The sequence below is a fragment of the Homo sapiens genome, chromosome 16, assembly GCF_000001405.40.
Source record: "Homo sapiens chromosome 16, GRCh38.p14 Primary Assembly".
NCBI classification, from domain to species: Eukaryota; Metazoa; Chordata; class Mammalia; order Primates; family Hominidae; genus Homo; species Homo sapiens.
The window spans coordinates 67,273,048-67,290,111 of record NC_000016.10 but is presented as its reverse complement, the minus strand read 5'-3'; the positions used below and the strand labels follow the sequence as shown (position 1 = coordinate 67,290,111).

The window sequence follows — 17,064 nt, the reverse complement described above, 5'->3', positions numbered from 1 at the left end:
TGATTCCTTAATCTAATTTTAACATTGAGGCCGAAACGATTTAGGCAGTTTCTCATTGATCTGACACTTCTATAATCAAGAGCATTATTATAACACCTTTCACCACAAGCCCTCTAGTACCCAGTTACCATTAGGCATCTGGCTCATATGTGGTTTGTAAAGGTGAAGTCAGCATGTATGGCTAAAAAGCAGAAAACCAGTAGCAGGAAACAGATTTTTGAACCTCCGGTCTTTCTGCTTTGTTCCCTGATAGCCATTTCTAGCCCCACCCTGTGAGATGCCCTGGGGCAGAGCTGGGCCCTAGAGCATCAAAAGTCCCCAACAGCCGGGCTTGCCCTGTCCCTGCCCCAATGGGAGAACCCCACCCACATGGAGCTAGAGTAGACAACTGGCCAGGAAATCAGGGATAAGACTGGCCTTTCCTTCCAGCTTACACTGCCCTTCGCCAGGAAATATGGCCGATGCATGGACCTGCTCATCCAGAGGGGCCTGTCTAGGTCTGTCTCTTACTCCATCCTGGGAAAGTACCTACAAGAGGACTAGGGTGCCCAGAGATGCAGCCCCTCATGCCCCACCCGCCAAGTCTCATTTTAATTGGAGATAGCCCAGAATGCATGTGCCCATCAGAGGGTACATATCAGTCTATTTTTTATTATAAACAAATAAAAGATTAAATCACACATCAAAGACCTAGACTCCTTCTCTGAGACACCAAAGGCCTAACAACCAGTAAGATAATTTTAGACAATTCTATTGAAAGTTATTCAAAAGGCATCAAGTCAAAATAACGAAACTGCCCCAGTAAAAAGGGGCTGGGCCTGGGGGCCAGGAAAGGCAAGCATGAGGGCCCAGTAGAGGTGGACCTGTCCCTATGGTAACTGAGCTCGGCTTTAAGGCCAGGCATTGGGGATCAGCTGCTAGGAGCCCACCTGTGTTCTTCCTGAGGGGTGGGGGCACCCTAGTCACTGCCTAGAGGCACATGGTCCCCCACCAGCCTACAGCATGGAAACACCCAATGTCTGCTCTAGCCTATTCTTAACCCACAACTGGGATGGGAGCTGGGGACAGGAGAAGGGGTCATGGGGCCAGGAGCCTATTCAGGCTCTACAACCAGACTTCCCTAGAGAGGCCCCGTGCCAGTTAGTCCAATGGCCACACACATCAGAAAGGGTAGTCAACAGCGTTGCACATGTAGGTTGGAGGTAGCCCAGGTGTCAGCCACACCCTGGTCACAGCAGATCCAGAGAGGCAATGTTCCTTGGAGCTGCAGGCTGCTGGATCTACTGCTCGTCCAGTCCCGGGCTCAGACCTGCAGGGCCAGGCCAGGCATGAATGCCTGCTTCCCTGACTCTGGACCCAGGAGGTGTCTGGGGAATGGCTCTGGCCCACCCACCCCAAGCTCTACCCAAAGTAAAGGCCTAGCCTGGGCTGGGGAGGGGCTGGTCACAGTCACAGGCTCAGCTTGGGCTGGGGAAGGGCTGGTGGGTATAGGGCAAATGGCACTCACACAGGGTAAGTCCTCCAGGCCCCTACCCAGGGCCTGCCCTGACACACAGCTGCTGTCAGAGCCACTGGAGCCACTGGCTGATGGGCATTGGGACGAGATCTCTGAGTCCTCAGCAGCTAGGGAGGGAGACTGGGTGAACTGTCAGCACGGGAAGCCCCAGACCCCAAGCCATGCCCTCCTGCCTCTGGCTAGGCCCAGACATACTCAAAGAGGGCTGGCCGCCCAGCTCTGCCTCAGCCTCCAGTGCTGCTTCCTCTGGGAAGCTGGGATACAGGGGACAGCGGAGACCCAGAAGAGCTGGGTCTCTGTACAGGTGCAGGTTGAGGGACCCCAGAACAGAGCAAGAGGCAGGGTCTCCAGGAAGGGAGTTCGAGGCCCCCAGGTAGAGGCTGTCATGGTCAAACGGGGCTACGGCAATGGACGCCCGAGAGCGAACTTCTGCATAAGAGAGAGGGTCAGGTTGGGACAGGCCAGAGCCTAGCCTGGCCCCAGATCCCAAGGAAAGTGCGGGCCAGCACTAATGGAGGGCCACAGTGCTTCCCGCACAGCTTTCCTACTCCCACCCCCACACCCTGTAGCCTGCCTGCTACCTCGGCACTTCAGGACATAGTTGACGGTGCGGTCGTTGATGGCTTCCTCGCTGGGAGCAATGTCTCGGAAGGCCTTGTTCCCCACACCCATGGACACCATCTCAGCCATGCGCACCTCTGGGTGGAGAGTGGACATAAGTGGGATGCTTCTGGACATAAGCCTGTCCTTGGGCCTCTACCACCCCCCAGATAAGTCTTTCCTGTACACCTCCATCCAGCACATTAACTGTCCTGTGAGCTGAGCCTTTCTAGTGCCAGGTGCTCTCCTCCCAACAATCCTGTGGGGCAGGTGCCATATTCCCCTTTTAAAGATGAGGCCCCTGGCTGGGCGCAGTGGCTCACGCCTGTAATCCCAACACTTTGGGAGGCCGAGGTAGGAGGATTGTTTGAGCCCAGGAGTTCAAGACCAGTCTGGGCAATATAATGAGACCTCTATGAAAAAATTTTACAAATTAGGCATGGTGGCACATGCCTGTAGTCTCAGCTACTTGGGAGGCTTAGGTGGGAAGAATGCTTGAGCTCAGGAGGCAGAGGCTACAATGAGCAAAGATCATGCCACTGCACGCCATCCTGGGCGACAGAGCGAGACCCTGTCTCCAAAAATAAAGAGAGAGAGAGCCATGATGCCCCTTATATTCAGAGAAGTTCACGTTGTGTCCAAAGTCAGAGGCAGTGACAGCAAGGCTGCCTGGCTTTGAAATCCTTTCTCCTGCACTGGTGGCTGTCGCTGGGCCTTCTCCCCACTTCCCGAGCTTTTCCCAGGTCTCTGGGCTCCTGTGGGTCAATGTAAGCTCTCCAGTGAGGGGAGTGTGGCGTGAAGGAGGGGCATGGACCCACCCTTGTTGTGGACGGCCTGCCTCCAAAGCAGGTGGGAGATGTCAGCTGTCCAGGCCTGCTTGATAGCCAGGCTGGAGGCCTGCAGCACAAAGGTGTCCCTGGCCTTGCGGCGGCGGAACCAGATCTCGAAGCGCAGGTTGCTGTTCCCACAGCACTCAGTGAGACCAAGGTCTGCCATCTGTGGCCAGCGGGAGAGAGGGGCTTGGTAAGGCATGGGGCGGGAAAACAAGTGGTGGGGCCTGGGGTGGGCAGGCCTACCTTGAAGGAGCGCTTGTAGGCAAATGTGTCAACCCCTGTGGGCCCATGGCGAGGCTTGCTGAAGAGCAGCAGCTCCTCAAAAAGGAAGATGCGGCGCACGGACTTGTGGCGCCCAGTGCGCACCACAAACTCATCCTGTCGCACCAGCTGCCCCTGTTCCTTGAGGTTAACCTGCAGAGTTGGGGGCTGGTGGGTGGCCAGCCTCTTCTGCCTTCTTCTTCACACCCACTGCCCTTGCCCTGGGATGACTCACATCACAGCCCTGGATGGCGTCCATGGCCAGCAGGTCGTTTCCGTGCCGCAGCTGGAAGTGCACAAGGCTCTGGGCCTCCCGCAGCGCACTGAGCTCCTGCGTGGGGCCCCCGCAGGCCCGTGCCAGCTCCTGCAGCAGCAGTGCGTACTTGCCCATGCGCTGGATGGGCTTTAGCAGGTAGGAGGCCAGGTCCAGGTGGTCCCCCAGTGCTTGCTGCTTGTCCTGTGGGCGGATGGGAGGCCACTGAGTGGTTTGGGGGCACTCCCCGCATCCCCTACTCCTCCTAATCTCAGGTTCACTTACCTTGAAGAAGGTGTGCCCATAGCTTGACATCAGGGCATCGGAGCGAGGCTTATTCTTGCTGTAGAGCGCGTACATCCCAAACTGCACCCTCTACAAGGACATGTGGCTCAGCCCCAGTGCAAAGGGGCCAGCTCCCTAAGGCTGGCACAGGCTAGACCACCCTCAGCTTGAGAGGACCAAAATGCCAGTAGATGCCTCTTAGGGAGGCCTCCCCTACAGACCCAGTCTTCCCTGCTTTGAACAAGGGGTGATTTGGCAAGAACAGTACTGGGCAAAGGGGGTGTGCCCACAGGCCCCCAAGGAAGAAGCCCCTTGCCCTCAGACTGAGCTCCTGCCTTCAGCTCTGCTCCTCCCACGGCTCTAAGAGCTCACCTCACCTGGGACTGTCCTGCTCACTACACTCAGCCACCTCCTTGGCAGGCCCCCTTTCCTCCACACGACCTTGTACTTGCTCTTTCCTCTGGGTGGGACACTCACTCCAGCCCCTCCCCTATTCCTCAGCTTAAACATCAGCCTCTCAAAGACTTCCTCTTGTACCAGGTGTCCTGGCACCGCACTCAGGCCCTCTAAAGTGGAGCCCCTGCCCCGCCAGTAATTCACAAGCATCTATCCTGCTTATTTTCCTCCTAGCCCCAACTATAATCTACAAGTATCGTTCTTGCTTCTATGTCTCCTCTACTGGACTAAGAGCACCCTCAGGTGCAGGAGCCTGCCAGTCTTGCTCATAGCTATACTCATAGCACAGGGACTGGCACCAAGCATGTGCCCAGCAGCAACTTCGGGAGTGTGGCAGAACGAGCTGATACCACATGGCCTGTCGGGCTTACATGGCGCAGGAAGGCATAGGCCACTCGTGGTGGGTGCCGGGTGCAAGCCTCCAGCTCACGCAGGAAGAAGTGGCAGTGGAAGTCCCGCAGCTTCTCCAGGTTGCCAAAGAGGTGGGCACGCTGACCGCGGAGGCCCTGGGGCACATCGGGGCGATCCAGCTCGGGGAAATAGTTCTCCATAGTGTACTCTAGAGCCCGGACATACTCCCGCTCCGTGGCCACCATCTCTGCCAGCACCAGCTGTAGCCTACCAGGTATGGGGAGTCAGGACCCAAGACATCTCTCCTTTACTGCCCTCCCCGCCCTGCCTACTGCCCATACCTGTTGAGGCTCCTGGGGTCAGAGCTGCCTGGTGGAGGCACAGTAGGGGATGCCTGGGGCAGGGCACCTCCTCCAGCCTCTGGTCTGCGGCAGGCAGCAATAGTGGCCGCATGGTGGCAGTGGCAGGCAGGTTCACTGAGACTCTGCCCCAGATTCCGATCGAAGCTGTAGGCCTTCCTCAGGGGAGGGTGGGCAGGTGCAGCGGGGACCTGGCTGACACACAGGCTAGCTGTGCTGCCCACCGGTGGTAGCTTCAGTGAAGCCTCAAGCTTTTGGTCCAGGGCCAGCCAGGTGTCCTGGCACCGCGCCCAGGCCCAGCGGCACTCCTGGCGGATGGCCTCTGAGCCCAGCCCCGTGGCCAGAGCCCACATCTTTCGGAAGTGGGCAGGAGGCAAGTCAGGGTGCCTGGTCCAGTGCAGCTGCAGCTGCTGCAACACAACCCCCGGGCGTTCCTGCTCCAGCTCTGCCAACACTCGCTGCCCCTCCTCAGCCCACGTCAAGGCCTGCAACACCAGGGCCGGACAAGCATTAGAGGAAGATCCTGCCAAGCCTGCTGGGCACTCTGCTCCTCTACCCACTCCCCATCCCCACAGGATGCTGTCCAGGACACAGCCCCAGTGACTGGGTTTTAGGGTCAAACTGAAGACCAGGGAAGAGAACAGGCAGCATGACCAAGAAAAGCTCAGGCTCTGCTGAAGCTGGGGCTGCCATCCCTCCGGCCTCATGGATCACTTGGAGCTGGGGAGACTCTCACCCACCTCCCTGAAGAGCTGAAACAGCCTCTCAGCATCCGCCAGCCGCTGGCACCGCTGGGCCAAAGCCCTAGAGAATTCAGTCAGCTGGGCTCGCAGGGCCAGAAAGCGTGCCCCAGGGGGGTCCAGTTCAGCCGCCTCCCAGCCAGTCAGCGGCTGCAGAAACTTCTCCCCTTGCCTGACCTGCTCCTGCAGAGACAGAGACTAGGCTCAGCCAGCCCAGGCCTGGCGGTCTAGCCCCCAGACTCAGATACTTCCTGCTGACATATCGACATGTCCCCATCAAGTCTGTCCTGTGGTGGAACATCTACCCGTATCTCCTACTCCCCACCCACATCCACTCCCCTTCTCCACAGCCAAAGTTCCTAGAGGAATCATCTGTCCTCACCGTCTCGTCTCGCCCTCCGCACCAGCCCTCTCCAGCTCCACTCTGCCCCGTCCCCAGCGCTTCTCAGGCCTCACTGACTCCAACTCTCAGCGTCATTCAGCCCACTCTCTACTGGGCTCCCCCAGCTCCTCCCCACGCTCCTGATTCTCCTCACTCTTCTCTGGTGGCTCGTCCTGCTCCCCTTCCCTCACCTAGGCCATTAAACACTGGGGATCCTGAGGACAGTGCACTCGCTCTCCCAGGCACTCTTGTGTGACCAACTTCAAATGTCATCCAAACACCTGGACCCACCAAGTGATCCTCTCCAGCTAGACCTCTCCTCTGAGCTCCAGGCCCAAGACCCAAGGGCCCTCCTCTCATCCCTCACAGCCATCTCGAGCATGCCCAAGACCGGACTCTTGAATGCCCTTCCCCCAAGATGACCTCATCTCCTAGTCTCTCAGGGAACAGCACCCATTCATCCTTGCAACATCCTTGTCCCTTACCCTCCCACATGGGTACATAGCAAATCCCATCAACTTCTCCAACCCGTCTCCCCTGCCACTATCCTGGCCAGAGGAGGCACTATTTCCCACCTAGACTACTGCAATTGCCTCTTCACTGCACTCCCCATGCCCATCCTCCAAGTCACTGTCTACTCGGAAACGAAGGCAATCTTCCTAGAATATGGATCTGATTACATGGCCTTCCTGATTAAACTCCACACTGACTGCTACAGGGCCCAGTGATGTGGCCACTGACCAGGCTTGTCCCACCGCAACTCCCCCAACTCTTTCTTCCTCTCTGCTCTGCATTTCAACCTCACTGGCCTTATGATTCCTCAGGCACACCGTCCTCCATCCTGCCACAGGACCTTTGCACATGCTATCTTCCAAGCCTGGAATGTGCCCCCATCCTCAACCCTCTTCTGCCTGGTTGACCTCAACTTATCTTTCAACTCTCAGCTCAAAAATCACCCAAAAAAAGCTTGCCTGACACTCCTGCTGGGTAAAGTCTTGGTTATACCCTCAGGCAGAATCACCTGCACTGATTCTCTCCAGAGATCTTGCCTGGGTTTACAGGCACATATATGACTGTGATTAATTACAACTGATATCTTCTATGGGACTATAAGGTCTAAGAAAGCAAAGGATTGAATTGCTTTCACACAGTTCTGCATTCCTAGTTCCTGGCATTGCATCCCAATACCCGTGGCATGAACAAGTGACCACATATACCTGGGCAACCTGGTACAGCTCCTGAAAAGAGCCTTGGGCCTGGAGCAGCATGTCCAGCGAGGGCTCCCCAGCCTCCTCCAGTGCTGGCCAGCCCACCTGCTGCAGCCACACTTCAATCTGGAGGAGCACAAGCAGGGAAAAGTGAAGAGAGCTGCTATGGACTGGGGGCTCACGTCTGAGATCGGGGCAGGGCCCACTCTGGGCAAGTAGTTCCGACCTGGTGCAGTCCGCTTTCCCGGGCCTCCAGTGTTTGGACCAACTCTAGGGCCTGTATTCGCTGGTTGCTCTGCAGGGTCAGTTGGTGCAGCAATCCATCCACCCGGTCATATAGCTCGTCAGCCTTGTCCATTGCCGTCCTGGTGTAGGGTATACCATCTTAGACCCCCTGCCTTGCACCACTCCACCCTGTCCTGGCACCACAGTCCTACCAGGTTCTGAGCTAGCCAGATGAGTCCTGGCATAGAATATGGTGGGCTGGGGCAAGATCTGGGGGCCGGGCTTGCACTCACCTGTAGTCTGGGCTCAGGGTCACCTCTGGGACCTCTTGCTTCAGCCATGTCAGCTCCCGGCCCCCCTGGCATTGTAGCCATGCCAGCCATGGCGAGTCTAGCACCTGCTGCATCAGGACCTCTGTCTGCTGTAGCAGCTGACCGACCTCCTGTGATTGAGGGCAATAAGCTGTGGAGGTGGCCATGGGAGAGAAGGAGGGAGACAGGGAGCATTCATGGAGGGACTGGGAGGGGACACTCACCCCAGGCTCCATGGGCTGGGGCACAGCCTTCACACTTTCGATGGCCCCCTGGAGCAGGGCACAAGCTGCCTGGCAGTTCTGTAGTAGAGCTTCCAGCCGCTGTAAGCAGGGGCAGGCATGACCGGAGCAGCATGCAGTGTTGGTCCTGGGCTTCCTGGGTTCCAGGCCACTGCAGCCAGCTTTGTCTGGTTCAAGCCAGCCCCAGAGAGGCTCCTCCATGATCCCAAGTTGCCTATATGACTGCCCCCATGCCCCACCCAGTGTACTGACCCTTCGGAAATCCAGCCAGGCCTGGTGGCAGTAAGGCAGGCCTCCTCCTAGCGAAGTGGGCAGCCCCGCCGTTGGGATGTGGGTCAGCAGGCTCTGAGAAGGCAACTGCTCCAGCTACAGGAGAAGAAGGTGTTGTGACCCAGGCCTGGGGGGAGGCACCCCACCTCTACCCCTAGCCAACTGGGCTTAGTACCTGCAGCCCGGAAGGCACTTCCTTCAGCAGCGTGCTTCCCACTAGCAGCACCTGGTACACGGCCCCTGGGGCTGCTTCCTGCAAGGAACCTGAGCTCAGCACTATCCCCAACTCTACAGAAAAGGGCATGGTGGCTCACGCCTGTAATTGCGGCACTCTGGGAGGCGAGGCGGGAGGATCACCTGAGTTCAGGAGTTCGAGATCAGCCTGGGCAACACATGGTGAAACCCCCTCTCTACTAAAAAATACAAAAATCAGCTGGGCATGGTGGCAGGTGCCTGTAATCTCAGCTAATTGGGAGGCTGAGGCAGGAGGATCACTTGAATCGGGGAGATAGAGTTTGCAGTGAGCCAAGATTGCGCCACTGCACTCCAGCCTGGGCGACAAAGGCAAGACTCCGTCTCAAAAAAAAAAAAAAAGAAAAGAAAAGGAATGAGGGGAGCTACAATCCTGTACTCACTTGTAGTTGGCTGAGCCCAGAGAAGAGGGAAGAACTTGGAGCACAAATTCGGGCATCAACTAGCACTGTCAGTCCCAGTGCCTGTACTTCGGGCCTAAAGGGGTGAGCTTCAGTTCAGTACCTGACTCCCAGTCCTCACAGCTGGCTCAGGCTCAGTCTCCCAACCCCCTCCCTCAAACCTGGGGATGCTTCGCAGGTACAGCAGGAGGCGGATGAGTTCCTGGCTGCTGCACTCAGACTGAAGCCAGGCTGGGCTGTGGGCACACAGAAGCAGCACTGCCCGGCCTTGGACATCCCGAGTCCCTGTGGGGAGGAAGCAGTGAACTCCTGCCGTATTGGGCCACTCCACCTCCACCGCCTCTAGGCCCGCCTGGCTACCTGGCAAGGTGGCCATACCACTGGCCAGCAGCTCCCAACAGAGGTCTTGGGCCAGGAGGCAGTCAGCAGGCTTAGGGAGGCCGGATCCACTGGGGGCTTGGGAAGGGAAATGACTTGGGTCTGCCTTGGACCACCTATCCAGAGACCCCTACTTGGACCCGGGCTTCAGCCTGAGTAGGGTCAGAGACCTCCAAAGTCTTGACACTCATCTCTCCAGGCATCCCCATTCCCTTCCCAGACTTCCCTAGCCCAGCCTTCCTTACCTGCCTCCAGCAGCTTTGATATTTCTGATAAAGGGTCTCCAAGGCCCACAGGGTCGCTGTCCAATGCCCCAGGGCTCAAGCCAGATGGCATCGCCCTGCTTGGACCTGGGTCCCCTACCAACCCTACCCCTGGGGTGTCACTCTCACCCTGTGCCAAGCTGAGGTGGGAGGACATGGGGCATAGGAGACTCTCCACTCCAGAGGGGCCTGGCCCTTCTGACAGGACTGAGGAGCTTTCTACTGTGCCCCTCTGGGCATCCCCCGACTCATCTGCAGCTGGGGGTAACTGGAATTTCCTGGACAAGGGGCTGCCCTGTAGCTCCTCATCCTGGGTGGCCCCGGCTGGTGGTCTTGGAGGACCTGGGTCCTTAACGTGCATCTGGGAAGCAGGTTCCTCCTCTTCCCAGGCATCCCTGAAACTGCACACAGCAAATCTCCAGTCGGTGGCATGGCCCTGAGAGTCTGGGGACTCATCCCCATTCTCCAGGGGCCTTTCCATCACGCCCTCCTAAAGGTGGGCCTGCTCGGGGCCAGCGGGAGAGGGCTGGGTCTCAGTGTGAACCGCGCTGAAGACAGTCGAGTGGGACTCAGTGGGCAATGCAGGCGAAGGGCATGGGCCGCAGGAGGTGCCAGTCTTAGTGCCAGGGCACAGGAACTGCAATTCAGGCCTGGGAAGAGGGAATAACGTTAAGGGTGTCCCTCTGTCCAGGTCCCCCGTCGGACGCCCGTGGGCCTCTGCTCCGTGCGCGCCCACCCTCAGCGTCCTCACGGCCACGCTCTGCAGGCCCATGCCCGTGGGGGCGGCCCCGCCATGGCACCACGATGCCTCGGGTTCGCTCTCCTGCCGGCCCCCCCAGGCCCTGGCCTTGTTGCAGGGCCTACCGCGCGCCCCCCCGTCGCCCGCTGGCGACACTCACGCCCCCGGGCCGAGCCGCGGGGAACCGTGAAGTCGGACAGCCTTCGAACAGACGGCGGCCTCGACGGCCACTACAGCGCGGCCGCGCGGCGTCACGGGACACCGCCTCCTGGCCGCTGGGAAGGGAGGGCAGTGCCGCCGGGGCGCCGCGCAGCGCCGCGCCGCCCCCTGGAGGCCGGAGGACGGAGCCACAGCCCGAGCAGGTCTCGACGGGGCACAGCCCTGCCGGCGCGGAAGACAAGGTGCGGGCCCTGCAGCAACCCCCGCCCGCCGCCGTCCTCTCCGTGGGCCCGGACAGCCCGCCAGCCCCGCCCCGCCGCACCCCCGGGCCCCGCAGACCGCGCGCCTCACCCGCGGCGTCGCAGTGCGTGGGTTGGGGCAGCGACCAACGGTCGGCAGCTCCACCGTGCCCACTCCCCGGGCCTGGCGAGGACGCCGGAAGCGCTCTCCCGCCAGGAAGGCCGCGTGGGTGAGCGAGGGTGAGTGCGCGGGGGGCACCGCGGGACGGGGCGGGGCGGGGTCTCCCAGGGGCTTCCGCGGCTGAATGAGCCGACGGGAGGGGAAGGCCTTCTGTGTAGGGAAGCGGGGTGCTGCCTCGCCGCGGGCACCCAGAGACAGGTCGCATGATCCCACGTGGGATGGGGCTGCCATCCGGGTGGGAGTGAGACCAATGGGTGGAGCTGACCCAGGCCTGCCAGAGTCCACCAGATCCTCTACCCCTTTGCCATCCCTGGCACCCCCTTACCCCCTTCTCCACAAAGTCCGGTGCAGGAGGCTGGTGCTGAGGTGGGGTTCTGGAGCCAGAGCCCCCAGCCCAGGCCTGGCTTCTCCACTTACCTGCTGGGGGCGCTCCAGGAACTCTGCTCTTTGAGCCTCACCCTCCTCACCTGTAAAAATGGAAAGTCATTTTTCTCCTGGGGTTGCCGTGAGGACTGGGGAAGACTCCCTGTGTTATACGTTCACCCGCTGCCAGCACTCGGGCTGTGTTGGTGCCCTGCCCCCTCATTTCACCCGCAGTCAGGGAATCCTGAACTGATGAAAGCTACCCAAGTGGGTAGCTGTGCGATTTGAGGTCCCTTTAGGGCATGTGGGCCTGGCCCGACACTCCCCAGAATTTGTGGGAAGATTGTGGGAAGGTCAGCTCTGCGACCAGGAGAAGACCCTGAGCCCCACAGTGTGCCCAGGCCCATGGTCCCTGGGGAGAGGGGGCACCGGGTGCAACGGCTTCCCTGGCTCTAAGGCAGGCACCTCTTTCATGAACCTGGGGATTACAACAGGCACAGTGGGACCAACAGCAATCTCCCCACCCAGCCCAGCCCAGCCCCCAGAGTCCAGACTTTCAGGCAGCTACCGAGGAGCCTTCTTCATGAGCAGGTCTGGCTGCCAGAGGGGAGCCTTGGAGTTGTCCTGCTCCATCCCTAACTCCCAGCCAGACCTCTCTTCCCACCCTCCTGGCTTCAGGAAGCATCATCCAACCTTGGCTTCCTCCCCAGTTCTGTCCCAGGGCCACCCCCACTGAGTCACTGCCTTCTGCTCCCTCCCTCCCCTTCTGCTGCCCACCAGCACCCACCAGCCAAGTCCCCCAGGAGCCCTAAGAGCCGGGGGGGACCTGCTGGCGGGCACACATACCCCTGTGAATGCCAGAGGCAAAGAAGAGCCTCAAGCCACAGGCTATAGCTGACCTGGCACCCTGGGCACAGCAGGCAGATTCAGGGGAGGTACAGCCATACTGAGATAGAGGCAGGGCTGGGCCCTGGTTTCTCCACTCCACAGAGAATGTGCATTGTAGGCTTCATGGAAACAGAGACTGTATGTTATCCACTTCCGTACTTTCAGCATCCAGCACAGGGCCTGGCACAGAATAAATGCTTTGGGGCGCCTGACACTGATCACACTACCCCTGCCCTCCTGAGGCTCCACATCTATGTATCCCATGGAAACCAGAGTCACAAATGGAGACAGATTCAGAGACTCAGCCTGAAAGGAGACAGAAGAGGCCGAGAGCTACAGGTTGCATGGCCCAGGATGGCAAAGGTACAGATAGAAATGAGGACACACTGAGGCCTAGTGGGGAATATTGGGGAGCTGGGCCTGGAGCCAGCCAGGGGTGGCTGACCACAGCAGGCTTTGTGGGCTGAGCTTGCAGGACTGAGCAGTGACTCATGGGGCCCATCTCTGTGGCTCTCCTGGCAGCAGAATCAACTCACAGCAGCCTTTTCCACTGAGATCATAAAATGGGAATGGGCCTCCCTCCCCTGGCCCTTCCCCAACTCTCCCTCAGCCTCCCATTTCTTGCCAACATGACTCAATCAAAAATAAAATGGGCCGGGCACTGTGGCTTATGCCACAAAATCCCAGCACTTTGGGTGGCCAAGTCAGGCAGATCACCTGAGGTCGGGAGTTCCAGACTAGCTTGGCCAACATGGCAAAACCCCATCTCTACTAAAAATACAAAAACTAGCCAGATGTGGTGGCACATGCCTGTAATCCCAGCTACTTGAGAGGCTGAGGCAAGAGAATCACATGAACCTGGAAAGCAGGGGTTCCAGTGAGGCAAGATCACACCACTGCACTCCAGCCTGGGTGACAAAGCGAGACTCTGTCTCAAAAATAAATAAATAAATAAAAAGGAGGGGAGGGCTCTGGGCCTCACTGGGTCTAGTGACAACAGACCCACAGTCATTCACCTTGCACACCCCTCTTCAGTACTACCCCAAATACTGAGGGCAACAAATACCCCAGAACTTCCAGACCTCTCTTGCCTTTGGCCTAAATAAACTCCAAACTCCTTGGTATGACAGTCAAGGCCACTTAGAGGCATCACAGCCTTCCCATCTACCTCCCAGACTGGCCTGGAAAACAAATCTGATTACTAGTCTAGTCTCACACTGGCTCCTCTTCCTGAAGGCCCATGCCCATCTCCCCTAATCAAAATCCTTCCTCATTTGAGGCCTGGGTGCAGCATCTCCTTCACGAAGACTACCCCAGCCAAGTTCTCTCAGCTCAGGCCACCCTGCCCAGTCACATGGCAAGGACCCATGGATGAGCGCTTGACGCACTTGCTCTCCTGCATCCAAGTCACCTGCCTGCCTCCCTGTCAAACCCACCATGTTCATCTGCCCCCACCACTGCAACCTCCATCTCCTGGGCTCAAGTGATTCTCCTGCCTCAGCCTCCAGAGTAGCTGGGATTACAGGCATGCACCACCATGCCCAGCTAGTTTTTGTATTTTCAGTAGAGATGGAGTTTCAGCATGTTGGCCAGGCTGATCTCAAACTCCTGACCTCAAGGGATCCACCCGCCTTGGCCTACCAAAGTGCTGGGATTACAACCATGAGCCACCGCACCCGGCCCGACAAATAATGACATTTATGATCCCTTACCTTGAGCCAGGCCCTGGGTAGATTCTTCCCATTAAATTTTGTCATTTAATCCTGACAGCAGCCTTATGAAGTGAGTATGATTATCTCATTTGAGAGATGAGGACACTGAGGCTCAGAGAGAGCATGTAACACACCCAGAATGACACTTGTGAGTGACAGCTGGGGCTGTTGACTCTAAACTGTTGACTACGGCCGGGCGCAGTGGCTCATGCCTGTAATCCCAGCACTTTGGGAGGCCGAGGCGGGTGGATCACCTGAGGTCAGAAGTTCGAGACCAGCCTGGCCAACATAGCAAAACCCTGTCTCTACTAAAAATACAAAAAATTAGCCGGGCATGGTGGTGGGCACCTGTAATTCCAACTACTTGGGAGGCTGAAGCAGGAGAATTGCTTGAACCTGGGAGGCAGAGGTTATGAGCCAAGATCATACCATTGCACTCCAGCCTGAGTGACCTGACTGAGACTGTCTCAAAAAGAGTAAAAAATAAAAATTAAAAAAATAAACTGTTGACGACTAGTTAACTACGAGGCCTTATCACTGTGGCCTGTAAACAACCTAAGGGCAAAGCCCAAGTCACTCTTCCTTCTCATCACACCTTCCCTGCGCATAATGCAGAAAAAGTAAAGGTAAGTTGGCTAAAAGTATAACCTTCCAAGTGTGTCAAAAGTCCTTCAGATCCAGACAGCCAGAAAGTAGGTTAGTTATTACCTAGGGCTGAGGAGGGCCAGGGATGAGGACTGACTGCTAATGAGTACAGGGTTTTTTGGGGGATGATGAAAATGTTCTAAACTTAGATTGTGGTAAGGGCTGCACAACCCTATGGGTATATTCAAAACACTGAACTGTACACTTAAAATGGGTGAATTTTTATGGTATGTGACTTATATCTCAAATATATCTCAGCTACTCAGGAAGGCTGAGGTGGGAGAATCAGGAGAATAGCTTGAACCCAGAAGGCAGCGGTTGCAGTGAGCCGAGATTGCACCATTGCACTCCAGCCTGGGCAACAAGAGCGAAACTCCATCTCAAAAAAAAGAAAAAAAAAAAAAAAGAAATCCCTAGATAAGAGCAGTCCCAAATCCAATTCCCCTGGTGTCTAAAGGACTTAAAACAAAAACAAAAACTTTGGCCCAGCACAGTGGCTCACGCCTGTAATCCCAGCACTGTGGGAGGCCGAGGCAGGTGGATCACCTAAGGTCAAGAGTTCAAGACCAGCCTGGCCAACATGGTGAAACCCCATCTCTACTAAAAATAACAAAAATTAGCCAGGCATGGTGGCGCTCACCTGTAATCCCACCTACTCGGGAGGCTGAGGCAGGAGAATGGCTGGAACCCGGGAGGCAGAGGTTGCAGTGAGCCGAGATCGCACCACTGCACTCTAGTCAGTGCAGTGCAGTATATGTGTGTGTATATATATATATATATGTGTATATATATGTGTATATATGTATATATATGTGTGTATATATGTATATATGTGTGTATATATGTATATGTGTGTGTATGTGTGTGTATATATGTGTATATATGTGTGTGTATATATGTGTATATGTGTGTGTATATGTGTATATATGTGTGTATATGTGTATATACATGTGTGTGTATATATATGCGTATATATATGCGTGTGTATATATGTGTGTGTATGTGTGTGTGTGTATATATATATATATGGGGTTTTTTTGGTGTGTGTGTGTGTGTGTGTGTGTGTGTGTGTGTGTGTGTGTTTTGAGATGGAGTCTTGCTCTGTCACCCAGACTAGAGTGCAGTGGTGCGATCTTGGCTCACTGAAACCTCCGCCTCCCGGGTTGAAGCTATTCTTGTGCCTCAGCCTCCTGGGTAGCTGGGACTAAAGTTGCGAGTCATCACGCCCAGCTAATTTTTTGGATTTTTGGTAGAGACAGGGTCTTGCTATGCTGCCCGGGCTAGTCTTGAACTCCTGGCCTTAAGCGAACCGCCTGCCTTGGCCTCCCAAAGTGCTGGGATTATAGGTATGAGCCACTGTGCCCAGCTCTCAAAGATTTTTTTTTTTTAAGATGGAGTCTCTCTCTGCCCCCCAGGCTGGAGTACAGTGGCACGATCTCAGCTCACTGCAACCTCTGCCTCCCGGGTTCCAGCCATTCTCCTGCCTCAGCCTCCCGAGTAGGTGGGATTACAGGTGAGCGCCACCATGCCTGGCTAATTTTTGTTATTTTTAGTAGAGATGGGGTTTCACCATGTTGGCCAGGCTGGTCTTGAACTCTTGACCTTAGGTGATCCACCTGCCTCGGCCTCCCACAGTGCTGGGATTACAGGCGTGAGCCACTGTGCTGGGCCAAAGTTTTTGTTTTTGTTTTAAGTCCTTTAGACACCAGGGGAATTGGATTTGGGACTGCTCTTATCTAGGGATTTCTTTTTTTTCTTTTTTTTTCTTTTTTTTGAGATGGAGTTTTGCTCTTGTTGCCCAGGCTGGAGTGCAATGGTGCAATCTCGGCTCACTGCAACCGCTGCCTTCTGGGTTCAAGCTATTCTCCTGAGTTCAGGTGATTCTCCCACCTCAGCCTTCCTGAGTAGCTGGGATTACAGGCGTGTGTCACCACACCCAGCTAATTTTGTATTTTTAGTAGAGACTGGGTTTCTCCATGTTGGTCAGGCTGGTCTCGAACTCCCAACCTCAGGTGATCCACTCACCTTGGCCTCCCAAAATGCTGGGATTACAGGCATGAGCCACTGTGCCCGGCCATCTAGGGATTTCTATTCATGTTTCTGGACCCCACACTATCTGATTTGCATCATAAACACTCAGAGATGGCCAGGTGAGGTGGCTCACACCTGTAATTCCAACACTTGAGGAGGTCAAAGCAGGAGGATTATTTGAGGTCAGGAGTTCAAGAACAGCCTGAGCAACATTGTGAGGCCCTACCTCCAGGAAAAAAAAATATATATATTATATAATATATATAATATATATTATATAATATATAATTATATAATATTATATATTTATTATATATAATATATATTATATATTATATATTTATTATATATAATATATATTATATATATTATATATTATATTAATATATAATATATAATATATATTATTATATATATTATATATAATTATATATATATATGCCAGGCACAGTGGCTTACACCTGTAATCCCAGCACTTCGGGAGGCTGAGGCAGGCAGATCACTTGAGGTCAGGAGTTCGA

At 55.8% G+C, this 17,064-nt stretch overlaps 2 protein-coding genes and 1 long non-coding RNA gene across 18 annotated transcripts in view, besides 4 other annotated features; 2 read left to right on the top strand and 1 right to left on the bottom strand.

The window, feature by feature from the left end:
* Positions 1-680, top strand: part of KCTD19 (potassium channel tetramerization domain containing 19) — a 37,310-nt gene extending 36,630 nt beyond the window's left edge. Inside the window, exon 16 of the mRNA NM_001100915.3 lies at positions 430-680. Within this exon, the coding sequence (NP_001094385.1) occupies positions 430-543 (114 nt within the window). The 3' untranslated portion in view covers positions 544-680. The remainder of the gene's footprint in view (positions 1-429) is intronic.
* Positions 632-12,532, bottom strand: PLEKHG4 (pleckstrin homology and RhoGEF domain containing G4). 15 transcript variants are annotated; one of them, XM_011522987.3, is made up of 23 exons: positions 12,167-12,532; positions 11,322-11,371; positions 9,569-10,236; positions 9,306-9,401; positions 9,107-9,230; positions 8,928-9,021; positions 8,468-8,545; positions 8,275-8,388; positions 8,005-8,103; positions 7,763-7,911; positions 7,471-7,609; positions 7,254-7,370; positions 5,655-5,837; positions 4,897-5,399; positions 4,576-4,822; positions 3,749-3,838; positions 3,446-3,667; positions 3,193-3,363; positions 2,935-3,112; positions 2,098-2,214; positions 1,712-1,945; positions 1,508-1,623; positions 632-1,309 (listed from the first exon to the last, which is right to left on the bottom strand). In XM_011522987.3, the coding sequence occupies exons 3-23, from the start codon at positions 10,065-10,067 to the stop codon at positions 1,304-1,306; spliced, it is 3,576 nt and encodes a 1,191-aa protein (XP_011521289.1). In that variant the 5' UTR covers positions 10,068-10,236; positions 11,322-11,371; positions 12,167-12,532; the 3' UTR covers positions 632-1,303. The 15 variants fall into 15 exon arrangements, with proteins under 15 accessions (XP_011521289.1, XP_011521290.1, NP_001123199.1 ...); XM_011522988.3 differs by lacking the exon at positions 12,167-12,532 and adding an exon at positions 11,836-11,950 and having other exon boundaries at positions 11,230-11,371; NM_001129727.3 differs by lacking the exon at positions 12,167-12,532 and adding an exon at positions 11,836-11,950.
* Positions 4,993-5,733: an enhancer, noted in NCBI's record as "H3K4me1 hESC enhancer chr16:67318282-67319022 (GRCh37/hg19 assembly coordinates)". NCBI's record gives its function as "activates a minimal SCP1, AML or CMV promoter by ChIP-STARR-seq in naive and primed H9 embryonic stem cells {active_cell/tissue: H9 hESC(naive and primed)}" and the evidence as "EXISTENCE:reporter gene assay evidence [ECO:0000049][PMID:30033119]".
* Positions 10,448-10,877: a silencer, noted in NCBI's record as "silent region_7601". NCBI's record gives its function as "represses an Ori minimal core promoter by ATAC-STARR-seq in GM12878 lymphoblastoid cells {active_cell/tissue: GM12878}" and the evidence as "EXISTENCE:reporter gene assay evidence [ECO:0000049][PMID:35858748]".
* Positions 10,547-10,728: a silencer, noted in NCBI's record as "fragment chr16:67313287-67313468 (GRCh37/hg19 assembly coordinates)". NCBI's record gives its function as "represses an EF-1alpha promoter that drives an FKBP-Casp9 reporter gene in an ReSE screen in K562 erythroleukemia cells {active_cell/tissue: K562}" and the evidence as "EXISTENCE:reporter gene assay evidence [ECO:0000049][PMID:32094911]".
* The window catches only part of LOC124903701 (uncharacterized), a 17,017-nt gene continuing 10,653 nt past the window's right edge, over positions 10,701-17,064 (top strand). The window contains exons 1-2 of one of the 2 annotated variants that reach the window (XR_007065092.1): positions 10,701-10,963; positions 12,321-12,518. This is a non-coding gene — a long non-coding RNA (uncharacterized LOC124903701). Of the gene's footprint in view, positions 10,964-12,320; positions 14,371-17,064 lie in introns of those variants that run through there. The other variant, XR_007065091.1, reaches the window with a different exon arrangement.
* Positions 10,928-11,087: a silencer, noted in NCBI's record as "silent region_7600". NCBI's record gives its function as "represses an Ori minimal core promoter by ATAC-STARR-seq in GM12878 lymphoblastoid cells {active_cell/tissue: GM12878}" and the evidence as "EXISTENCE:reporter gene assay evidence [ECO:0000049][PMID:35858748]".